This window comes from Homo sapiens, chromosome 4 (genome assembly GCF_000001405.40).
Source record: "Homo sapiens chromosome 4, GRCh38.p14 Primary Assembly".
NCBI lineage: Eukaryota > Metazoa > Chordata > Mammalia > Primates > Hominidae > Homo > Homo sapiens.
Window position 1 is genome coordinate 107,857,568 of NC_000004.12, and position 12,480 is coordinate 107,870,047.

The 12,480-nt window shown below is 38.5% G+C and overlaps 1 protein-coding gene, 1 long non-coding RNA gene and 1 pseudogene across 17 annotated transcripts in view; 1 reads left to right on the forward strand and 2 right to left on the reverse strand.

Moving 5' to 3' along the window:
* Nucleotides 1-12,480, forward strand: part of SGMS2 (sphingomyelin synthase 2) — a 90,485-nt gene that overhangs the window by 33,005 nt on the left and 45,000 nt on the right. For 12 of the 16 annotated variants that reach the window (NM_001375906.1, XM_011531701.3, XM_047449714.1 and 9 more), the window contains one exon: nucleotides 905-986. The gene's annotated coding sequence lies outside the window, so the exon portion shown is untranslated. Of the gene's footprint in view, nucleotides 1-904; nucleotides 1,018-12,480 lie in introns of all 16 variants that reach the window. The other 4 variants (XM_047449717.1, NM_001375908.1, XM_047449719.1 and 1 more) reach the window with 1 other exon arrangement.
* Nucleotides 5,912-12,480, reverse strand: part of CYP2U1-AS1 (CYP2U1 and SGMS2 antisense RNA 1) — a 68,641-nt gene continuing 62,072 nt past the window's right edge. The window contains exons 6-7 of the long non-coding RNA NR_125929.1: nucleotides 9,341-10,078; nucleotides 5,912-6,879 (exon numbers count right to left, since the gene is read on the reverse strand). This is a non-coding gene — a long non-coding RNA (CYP2U1 and SGMS2 antisense RNA 1). The remainder of the gene's footprint in view (nucleotides 6,880-9,340; nucleotides 10,079-12,480) is intronic.
* RNU6-733P (RNA, U6 small nuclear 733, pseudogene) lies at nucleotides 10,240-10,343 on the reverse strand (annotated as a pseudogene).

The window sequence follows — 12,480 nt, forward strand, 5'->3', positions numbered from 1 at the left end:
TACATATATGCACTATTGGGTAGTCTCAGGTTGTATTCTTTGGATATTCATATTGTGGTTCTATGAACTGCAGACCTCTGGCCAGTAGCCTATATTTTGCTTCCATCCACAAGGCAAATTTCAACTAAAAAATCCATTGAAAGACTGCAGCAACTGTATGTATTTCAAAGGAAATCTTCCACCATTTAGTAGAAGGTGACAGATTATGCACAGCACATCAACCTAAGTTTCTGTGACACTTAGTTTGCCCTTTATGTACATAGTCCTTCTACTGTCCTATAAAGCCCTCTGCACTCCTCTTCCCTTCTCTATGCCTAGTTCACAATACTCCCGCCGTGCTTTCCATTCTTTTTAAACCTTCCTGGCTCATTCTTGCCTCAGGGCCTTTGGGCCAGCCCAGCCGTTCCCTCTGCCTGGCTTACTCTTCTTTTGTAGCTGCCCCACCCCCCCCATCCCCAACCCTTATTAAGTCTTAAATATCCCCTTAGAAAGGCTTCCCTGACACCACTTGCTCTACATCGACCACATCAGCCTTGCCCTGACTCTGACTGACTTTTTTGAGTGACATTGACTGGTCTTCTTGTTTATCTGTGTGTTCCTGTGTTAGAACGCGAACATCAGGAGGCAAGGGAATCTGCCTGCCTGCCCTGCTCCAACTTTAAATAGGGGCTGGCAGGTGTTAAATATTAGTGGAGTGAATGGCTGAGTTGCTTTTCTTGACCTGAAGTGTCAGTACCTGTTATAGCCAGTGTTTTCCTGGCAACTCTCCTAGAGGGCCAGTATTGGAGAGCTCTAGGAGGGTAGCATCAGAGGGCTCTTCATTCCACCTCCACCCCCAGAAAACTAGCAAAACATAGCAACAAAGCCTCATTCTTATTTAATCTCTGACTTTTTCTTCCCCTAGAGCTGCATCCTGTGGCCCTATAACACTCTTCTCCAAAAGGACCTGCCAGAGACTGGGAGTGTTGACTGCTGCAAGGACCAAGGTGGGAATTGCTGTGCTACCATCTGGAAACAGTAGGTTTGGTGCTTCCTGCTGCTATAGCATGAGTCTAACTTACATCAGCTGAAGGTTGGCTGTCTATCAGTTGTCCTGCAGCTTTGCTGCTGCTATCTTCCCTTCTCTGGTTAAGACATTCATAAATGTCGTAACTCTGAGAATTTTTATTTCATCCTCAGGAGAGTCTTAAATTTCAAGTTCTTTCAGGTGAATGGATGTTTTCTCGGTCTTGGATTGCCGTTTTAAATGACAGCCAGAGAAATAGAGGTAACCCCATAACTTTCTAACCTGTTTGCATTACTGCCAAAAGAGAGCACTCAATTAACTGTCTCAACCATGCCTTAAGAAAACAGAAAATCTTCAAAGAGATATCAGTCAGCCATGCACCTTTCAGCAACAGTACGGAAATTACTAGCAAAGTTATTCTGTTTTTATAGTTATCTAAACCAAAATTAAAGAGCTGTGGCAGTTATACCCATTCTATGCCCACTGAGGAAGAAGAGGTTTTGCTTGTGTGGTTGAAGCAGTACAACTCAATTCACTGCCTAGAGTACTTGGAATTTTATTTCAAGTATAATTTTATTCTTGAAAATAAAAATAGTTGCATTTTTTAGTGCAAAAGAGTTTCCCTTTTCTTGCTATATCTCTGGGCACCTTAAGACTAGGGTTCATTTGACCCTGATGATAGCTGTTTTGTTTTTTTTTACTTTTTATCATTACTGTTTATTGTGGTGTTTGCCTAAAAAGATTTCTACCCTAAGATAGACACCAGGACCATGTAATCCCAAATCATTTAAAATAAATATTTGTAGGTAGTTAATATTATTCAGCACAGTATTCTATAACATTATTTGTCTTCTGTGAAATTCACAATAATTCTAGGAATGTTGCTAAGGTTAGAATGCCTACTTTGAGCTGGCACTAAGAATGGCAGCTATTTCTAAATATTTGACACCATTTTGATATCTTTCCCTTTGTCTGGTGGTGTCTGTCTCATTGAAGCTGAGTGAAGAAAAGAATTCATTTATTCAACAAATACTTACTGAACGCTTTCTATGTGCCAGGCATTCTTGTCAGTGTTGCGAATGAGGCAGTGAACAAAACAAAATCCTTTCATGAGCTTTAAAAAAAGCTCTTGAATATCCTCAGCCAACAAACCAGAGCAGGGAGGCACAGAGGACTTGCCTCGCTCTCAGGTACTCTGGGGAAACCCCCTTCAGGATGGCAGATGGACACAAGCAGGAAAGGAGAGAGTGAAACCCTGATTTGGAAAATAAAGTAGTCGTATGTTCTAATTTAATCACTGCAGAATTTTAGAAGTGTGTTAAAATAATAAACCAAAAAAAGGTGCTAGGTTGATATAACTTGGGCTTGAAAAATAAAGGATTACTGTTTTTTTTTTCCTTTGCAATGTCCCACACACTTGATGTAAGGATTACTTTTTAAGTATACCATTTTCATACATTTCGCATTCACAGAGTCTGCCCAAATTCTGCCTCCACCATCCTCTCAGCCTCTGTCAATGTCTAAAGCATCCTTCTAGAATTTCTTTATGCATAAATAAGCAAATAGGAATATTCCTATTTGCCCTCTTCATAATGTAAAAGATAGCGTACTATATTTCTCTGCAATGTATGTTTTTTTTCCTTACAATATATGTAGGAGGACTTAATAAGCTAGTACTAAGACACTTTCCTCATTCTTTTTTTAAAGCAGTTACAGAATAACAGAGTCCATTTATGGATGTTCCACAGTTAAAATAGTGATCTATTGATGGACAACATTTGGGTTGTGGCCAATTGTTTGCTCTTAAACAGTACTGCAGTAAGTAACTGTATGTAGGTTATTTTGCATGTAGACAATATATCTATATAAACTTGTAAAGTAGAATTGCAGGTCATAAGGTGTATGTGTAATTTTAATAGATATCATTAAATTGCATCTCTGAGAGGAAGGTGTTTTTTTTTTTTTTGAGACGGAGCCTCTCTCTGTTGCCCAGGCTGGAGTGCAATGGTGCGATCTCGGCGGCTCACTGCAATCTCCACCTCCTGGGTTCAAGCAATTCTCCTGCCTCAGCCTCCTGAATAGCTGGGATTACAGACACCCACCATTGCGCCTGGCTAATTTTTGTATTTTTAGTAGAGATGGGGTTTCGCCATGTTGGCCAGGCTGGTTTCGAACTCCTGACCTCAGGTAATCCGCCTGCCTCGGCTTCCCAAAGTGGTGGGATTACAGGCATGAGCCACTGCACCTGGCCAAGGTTTTCTTATTACATATCTACTAGAAACTTGTGAGAGTACCTGCTGTCATCAGCGTCTGGATATTTTGCCAATTCTCATAGCTTAAATGTCAGACTGGGTTGCGTGCCTTGGCAATGTGTTCTTATAGCATCCTGAACTTTCAATTATCTAAACATTTATCTCCCTGTGTGATAATGATTTGTTTGTTTCTCCAACCAGACTGCAAGCTTTGTGAGGCCAGGGACTAGGTCGGTCTCTTTCGCCTGGCCATAACAGACATTCACATATCTAATGAAGTTTAAATACATTTTCGAAAGATGAGACAATTAGTGGTAATTTAGCTCTCAGGGTATACAAATGCAGTAAACTGGCTTGCTGTCATAGATGGGGCTCTACTGCTATTTAATTATTAGAAATCTTCAGTTTCAGCATGGGAACAAACATTCTTCTTTTATGTTACTGCAATTTATATTAAGCAGGTAGTCAGCAACAAATTCATGAGGTTAAATCCTCAGTTATCTGCTGGCAATTTGATTTCCCAAGACCTAAATTCGATTTTGAGAATCTGAAGAAATAAGCTTTCTACTTCTGGTTATATGCATGAGCCAAAACATTTTACAGGGCTTCAGGAGGTCCACCTATCAACTACGAACCCCAAATTAGAAAACTTGCTTGAGAGATGTGGTTAAGGACTTTGAAATAGTTTGGAGAGTGATTCAACCCCCTTATTTCTTGCCACTAGTAATTGCAGCCTACAGTTAGCCAGTTCTAGATAATGAGGGTACTCTTTTCTTAAATCTGTTATGGACTTTGGTGGAATTCAAGAATTTTTTAATATGGAAAGATTTTTTTCCTTAAATATGCCTTTCAAAAAGAAAAATATTTTGGAGGAGATAAAGGATTAACATGTTTAAGTTGAAAATCTTTGCTAAGTAAACTCATATACCCATTTTATAGTTGTTAAAAAAGTGAAGTAATTCATATCTATTTGATTTTTAATAGTTCTTACAAATATCAGGATACTGAAACCCCAAGGTAAGGATGAATATTATTGGATGAAAGGAAGAAAAAATAAAATTTTCTAAACAACTTTTGTATCCTCCTGTTCATAAACATTTAATAAATCTAGAACTCAGGACTGTCCCACTAAGATTAGGAGTAACATTTAAGCACACCCTTACATCTTATTTTCTTGTTTCTATAGCAGGCATGTCCTCTGACAAGAAGAGCAAAAACGAAAGAAACAACAACAGAAATCCCAGTATTGGGGTGGTGGTGGGGGCGGCTTTTCTAAAACCACTTTTCTTTCTCTGAGTATTTAACGCATAGAAATGACTGGGAAAGTAGCGGAGACCTAAAATAATAGAGGAAAAGCCGTAACTGTCGGAGAATGTATATGGAATGCAAGCCCACAGTGTTTTGTTCTAGATTTTTGGCTCCTAGAGTAACCCAGGCACACATGCTAACTTAAATTTGAAGATGAAGGTTAGTAAGGTGACTTTAGGCCAGCTTTGCTATATATTTGTATTTATGACGGTATTGGAGGGTGAACCTCCTTGATTCCGAAGCTACTTATATTGTGCTAATCAATTCTTGTTATCAAAGAAAAGGGACAGATATGCGAATATGTGAAAGAACTAATTCTTTTAAGGATGACAAGTAATTTCCATGATACTGTATAACTCTTTTCCCTTTTATATGTAAGAACCCTGTAATTAGCTTTGTCTTAAAAGTTTTTTTTCAAAACTCTGTAGGAAAAATAGTAGCCTATATTTCAGCTACAAAGGACCTGTTTATTCTGTGTACAGCATAGTGCCTTTTGAATGCTCCTGACTTAAAGAGAATGACTGAAGGAGCCTCTACCAAGAGTGAGAAAGTGGGAAAGAACACTGTCAAGTTTAAGCACTAAATCAGCAGTCTAGTGTTGGGAGGACGTCGTGCTGAATAGATTTCTGCCTTATATCCGACTGTACCTGTGCCTGAGTTGTCTTCATCCTGCCAAACACAAACAAGTTGCTAGGCAACAGGAGTGATTCAGATGTTCTGAACACCTCACTGAATGAAATGTCTAACCATGATGTTTCCAGGAAATGCCGCCTCTACAAGTCACTGGGCAGCCTGATAAACATTTGCATGTGCCCTGAGGTCAAGTGACCTAGAGCTTCTCGCTTATGTGTTATAAGGTGGGGCCAGCTAATGTTTGGAAGAATGCCACCTTACTGGGCAAACATGGATAGTTTTCATGCTCCTACATGGTAACTGTGAGGAGGAAGAGTTGGGGACAGGACTGGGAGAAGTGCAGTCTCTCCCCAGAAGAACTCACCAGGATGGAAATCCATTGCCCTTGGGTCACATCTCTAATTGTAAAAATAGCCCAAGATCCCAGAAAATCACAACATAGCATGGTTCCAGGAGCCTGGACTCAGATGCGTTCAAATTCTACCTCTGTCACTTGTTACATTTCTAACTTCATACCTCAGATAGGGGTGGTAATGGTGACTACCCTATACAGTAGTTGTGTGTATTAATGTTAGCATTTGGGGAACACTAAAACTGGCATCTGTCATAAACTCTGGGAAAGCATTAGCTTGCTCGCCATGCTCTAGACAGCTCCTTGAGAGGTGGGGGCTGAATTGTGAAGGAATGAAGAAGAAGAGAAGTGAGATCTTTTCCAAGGATGTATTTATTCTTTTATGATTTCAAGGACTGCAATCATAGAAATTTTAACCATAACATCATTTAAGAAAGCTCTTCAAGGTCTTTCAGCACTGCATACTTTGAGAATTATGTATCAAAAAATGACCTCAGGGTTATGCAGCGGAAAGGCCATGCGATCATGGAGCATTGCTTTAGGGCTTCCAGTGGATATGTAATGCTCTGAAGCTAGATATGGGTTTTTGCTTTACTGTTTTTTCCTTCTGTTATATCCCCCTTTTTATATAAGATATAATAAAAATGCAGTCACAAAAAGTAAACCACAGTAAGTCAGATGAAATGTTTGGGCTCTGTGACATATATGGAAACCATATTTATACAGACACATTAGTGACTCATTTAGGAAAAGAAAGGTACCTGAAGCTCTCTGGGAAAGGGTAAGATAATTCTGGTGTCTTTGAGTGTGTGGGCTGCCACATTCATTCAACTGCTATTCTAGGGCTGGGCTGCAGGTTCTTGGCTAGTGGCCAGGAACACCAACACAAACAGGACATGGACTCTATCCTTGCAGCTCATAACCAGCAGAGGAGATAGCCCTGTGTTAAGCAGTGAGCTTTTAAAACCCTGTGCTGGGCTGAAGAGATGTGTAGGAGCATAGGTATGGGGAGAAAGCCAATGGCATTCAATCTCAATCTGATCTTTAAGAGTTCTAAGTTCGCTTGAATTTATCTTTGCAAGGGAAATCAGAATGTTAGAGAATTGTGTTGGGAATGTGTCACCACATGCCAGGCTAGTGGCTCTGCAGTTCCTGAGCAATGTTTTGTAGTAGTGACTAAACCCTGCTCTGAGGAAGTGGTGACATTAGGAGATGCAACGGAGAGTAAAAGTAGTTGGAACCTTTCTTCCTGAACTTGCAGAGTCTCTCTCTCTGGTTCTGTCTTTGCTGACTGAGAGATGGTGGTGTTTCCCAAGGAAGTAGTTGGCCTGAAAGTCAAAAGGATGAAAAGGATTGGGGAGTGACTCTCAGAGTTGCCTCAAAAGCCAGTCATAATAGTTAATTTTGAATTAGGTAGAAACTCTGGTCAGTTGTACAACATAAGTACATGACGTTTTATTCAACAGCTATAGAGATTTCTTTAAAAATATGTGTTTTTAATTGACAAATAAAAATTGTATATATTAAGGTGTATAACATGATATAATGATTTATTTATTGCCAAAATAATGGCCTAGTGTCTTAAGGTTAACTTTTCAATCTCTATAAAAAGTAAAGGAGAAAGCCCGTTGAACTGTAAAATTTTCCAGCTTTCCTTGAAGTCACAATATATAAAGTGCTTCACTGAATTTAATGTTGAAGGTAGAATCCCTGTTTTATATGCAGTCTTATGCCTTGAATAACTTCCTATAAGTGTATGTTGGTTTGGGGAAAATGCATTTAAGTTTGGTTTATTTTATAAAGAGCCCAGAGGTTTTTCTATTTTATTACCATTTACATGAATTTAAGTTCTCTATCTTTCATCAGGTATCTTTATGTTACTTGGTGGAAAACTGTATTAACATTATTCATAAAATATTACTGAACAAACATAACATTTTCAAAAACAGCCATAAATAATGCCTCAAGTGATTCAAATAAGCTTCGATAGAATTCACGTTGTTTATATTTGTTTGTTCCAAGAAGCATTTGAGATAGGAATTTATAGTTTTAATGAACAAAGTTCTAAGACATAATCAGCTGCTTTCTCAAAGCTATCTGGCTTAGGAGTGTATGTCATGTATGATGTTAAAACTGGAATAGTCTGCAACCCAGAAAAAAATACACAATCTGGGATTGCTAATCTTTTACGAGAGAGGTCTCATCTAGCTTAATACTGTAAATTGTCTACCTTTAAACATTAATGCTAATGGAATTTATAGTTTAACTTTAAATCAAAATATGCAATTTCAGATTACTTGGGATATTATTATATTTCAATTTTAGGTATTTTGGAAAAGGCCTTTTAAAGTACCAACTATTTATAAACACTAACCAGTTTATACTAATTGGTATTACATTATTTCCTAATTTTGAATCTGCATCTGTATAATGGTCAGTTAGAATTATAAAGCAGAATACTTTTTTATATTCTTTCATGTTGGCCTCTGAGCTCACCCAATAACTTTTCTATTGTTTACCTTCTAATTAACTATCTCTTGTTCTAGGGAATATGACCTTTCAGCTACAACTTTATAAAATTATTTTCATTAGCTTTAATGCCTTATTTCTTCTCTAATAAACCTGAATCAGGAGCTCTTCATTAAGATCTTATTTAATTGGTTTCAGTCCTGGTGGAAATCCCCCCACCCCCATAGTCTCCTCTTGTTCCATTCAGATGCCTTAAGTAGTGACTAGAACCTAATGGGTGATTCTTCCATGAATTTATTTTCCTTTTCATGTGGCTTATTCTGACTGTGTGATTGCCACAAGAAATAAAAGTATAAGATCAACCATAATATGCCAATGGCCAATCATTTAGCATAGCCCCTTATTTGAGAATGTGATAGGGGTAGGACAGAAGAAACTAAGGACCAAGGAGATTGCATTAATTCTCATCAAGTGGCAGAGTCAGGGTTAGAACCTGGATTTTAGGATTCTAAGATGTTACAATGTACATTTGACCTGAGTTTAATTTGCTTCTGAGATTAGCAAGGGCATGTTGTAGGGGCCATGGTTATTGAATAAACTTTTGTTATTGATTAATAGTAAATTCACATGGATGTGTTATCCACAAATTATCTACATCAAGCTAAATAAAAATACCAAGTTAAAAAAAAACTCTTGGCTGGGCATTGTGGCTCACACCTGTAATCCCTAGCACTTTGGGAGGCCGAGGTAGGTGGATCACCTGAGGTCAGGAGTTGGAGACCAGCCTGGCTAACATGGCAAAACCCTGTCTCTACTAAAAACAGAAAAATTAGCCAGGCGTAGTGGTGTGCACCTGTAATCCTAGCTACTCAGGAGGCTGAGGCAGGAGAATCGCTTGAACCTGAGAGGCGGAGGTTGCAGTGAGCTGAGATCGCGCCATTGCACTCCAGCCTGGGTGACAAGAGTGAAGCTCTGTCTCAAAAAAAAACCAAAAACAAAAAAAAAACAAACCAAAAAAGTGTTTGGGAAATATTAATATATGATGGGACCAATCTCACGGTGGTGTTCTGAGCACTAGATCATATGATGGTTAGTACATTCTTTATCAATAAATTACCTTACCCTATTTCTTTTCTTTCTGTGAGACATGGGATTTTTATTTACCTTTTTAAACTTTCTTTGGTGAGGTCACTAACATATCTTTTATTTCTTTCGTTTTATATGATGATATATTTTTAATATGGCCAAGAGTCTTAGAAATCTGTAAAGTAATGGTGTTACACTGAGAAAACTACAACCCAAGATTGCAAAATTACTGACCCAGGATTAATCATGACTTGTTTGTGGCCAAACTGAGAGAGAGATTCTTGGATTCTTGTTTTGTGACTTCTGATCCAGGGCTTTGTCATGGCACTATCAGTTTTTAAACTTCTTTAGCCATGGAACCCAGATTTCAGATGAGATTTTGGGTAACCCCTCTAAAATAGAAGGAAAAGCAGAGCTCCTCAAGTTGAAAGGAGGTGGAGGCCTGAAGACACATGCACATGGCCTCCCCAAGACTCTCTGTACTGTAACATACTACTCTCCTCCACATAGTTCACAACACAGATGAAGGGTGTACTCCTTCTCTCCTCCTCCAAATATGGTCTAGTTCTTTTCTGGAGCATTTCTGTCCCCTATATCTGAAATGAACGTAATTGGAAAGATTGGAGGAGTTACCGACCCAGCCTGGGAATTACATTTATAAATGAAATGCCAGTCTTCCCAGTTGATTCTGGAACATTTTTCCTGTGTGTCAAGAGGAAGCAGTGGGGAGATGTTGCTATGAGAATCCACTGATGTCTGATGTTGGTTCTTCTGACATAGCAGGGCTGTGCTATCCCATTTCCTTTTCTTTGCTGTAAGAATTCACCCTGAAGCTGTGTGCTCATTTGCGACGCTTTTCCCAAAGAGGGGTAGAACAGCCTGCCGAGTCAGAGCTACCAAAGTACCAAATGCTGGCTTCACTGCTTACTAGTTGGTGACCTTGGGCAATTCACTTGATATCTCTGTGCTCATCTGTAAAACATGGGTAATAATATTTAACCTCATAGAATTGTGGAGATGATTAAATAAGATAATCAAAGCATTTAGAACTGTGGCATTTGGGCAATAGTAAGTACTATATGAGTGTTAGCTATAGCTCTTGTTCTTAAGTCTAGGCTATATAAATTTATTTTTTTTATATGGAACACTTCGCGAATTTGTGTATTACCCTTGTGCGGGGGCCATGCTAATCTCTGCGTCATTCCAATTTTAGTATATGTGTTGCCGAATCGAGCACAGGCTATATAAATTTAAATCATTAATAGGATACATAGTCAAAATTTTTAAACACTTGGAAAATATTCCAATCTAGTGTTGTTAAACTGAAATAAAAATATATTTTTGGCAGAGGAAATATAGCATAATAGTAATAAAGCCCAATTAGCTCTGCATGATCACAATGTTGATGAAATTGTTTAAAGTGTATATTTGTAAATACTTTTCCAAATAAAAGCTTAAAATAACAACAAAGCCACAATATAATAATCACTTGGGTTTGCAATATAAATTAGATTGTTAAAGGCTTGGAGAAATTTTCACTTTTACTTAGTTTTGCATGATTTTATCGTAGGTAAGGAAAGCTACACAAAGTGGTCAACCAACATTTCCCAGAAAACTCTTTTTGACAGTTGATCTTCAAATTAAGGTTTCTGATTGCACTTCGGTAAAAACCTCTGCAAAGAAAGTGTGTATTTAGGCTGTTATCTGTTGAAGAGCAATAATGCCTTTGATGAGTGCATTCTTATTCTTAAAGTTGCTGCCCGCCAGGTGTGGTGGCTCTCGCCTGTAATCCCAGCAGTTTGGGAGGCCTAGGCGGGTGGATCACCTGAGGTCAGGAGTTTGAGATCAGCCTGGCCAACATGGGTGAAACCTTGTCTCTACCAAAAATACAAAAATCAGCTGGGCGTTGTGGTGGGCGCCTGTAATCCTAGCTACTCGGGAGGCTGAGGCACAAGAATTGCTTGAACCCAGGAGGAGGAGGTTGCAGTGAGCCGAGATCGTGCCACTGCACTCCAGCCTGGGCGACAAAGTGAGACTTTGTCTCAAAAAAAAAAAGTTGCTGCCATTTTCAGAATAAAATGAAGCCTTTTTCTGCTCCTGTAATCATAGGATTCTGGAGCCCTATTTTAGAGTTAGGATTTTCTTTTTCCACTATCCCTTTTGTACCTGCCTTTAGCACCCCTGGATATTTTTCACATTTGAAAGCTTTATGATTATTGAATATTATGTTCAAGTAATTTTGTGCATTTTCTTACTATTGACAGCCTTTGAACAAGTCTGATTTGTACTTACAGAACACCATTTTTAAGAGATTTGTGTAATTGTGCATGAATATAGGTCAAAAGGTAGAAGTAAAGAATAGTAGCCATACCATGAACATGTTGGGCACAAAGCACCCAAGAGGGGGAGGTTGGTTTCTTAAGAAGCAGAAAGTTATAAATGGAAATGAGTGTTTCTTTTTAAAAGGGAATTTAGGAGAGAGGGGACACTAGGTTTTGTAACCCAACTGGGTAGTGAGTGCTGTATTTGAAAGTTCATTTCTAGGTCCAGTAGCACATACCAGGGAGTTGTAGCAGGAAAGGTTTGTTGGAGGATATGACATCTGCTGAGACCTGAAGCACGAGAGCCAAGTGTGTAAGCAAGTCGATGGGATTGGGAAGAAGTTTAGGCTGCTAAAAAATTTTTACATAAAGCTTGATAAGAGGGGATATTGCATGTGAAATAAACAGAAATTCAGTAAATATGGTGGAAGTGCAGGATTTAGGGGATGGAAAAAAATACTAGTTTCAAAAATTGAGGCTAGAAGTGAAGGTAGGGGCCAGATTATGAAAAGCCTTGTAAGCAATGCTAAGAAACAATAGATGTCAGAAGGACATGCCACCATCTAAAAAGCAGTCTTGAGAACAAGTAATTGGATAAAGGTGACCTGACTAGGTATTTGTTTTTTTAAGTAAATTGTGTTAATTTTGTTAGGTGTAAAAATGGCATTAGGGTCATGTTGGGGAAAAAAGAATCTCTTTCTTACAGATGAAATTACATGGTCTCTGAGACTGCTTCCAAAAATACAGAGTAGAGGACAGATTAAAAAAAAAAGATTTCCTGTGATAATTGTTATGGCTAATGGGGTTCACTGTAGTATTTTCTACTTTCATTATGTTTGAGATTTTCTATTATAAATTTTTTCTTAAGTCAAAATAAGCAATGGACTTTTGGGTCATAGGGAGCCATTTAAGGTCTTTAACGAGGTCAGTAAAGCAGGAAATAGATTAGGAACAAAACCAGAGAGGAAGGGAGTGCTGCATTAAATACCATGATTGTGGAGCTGTCAGTTTTTCCTTGTGTAGGAATGTCCATGATTTTATATCTTCTTGGTG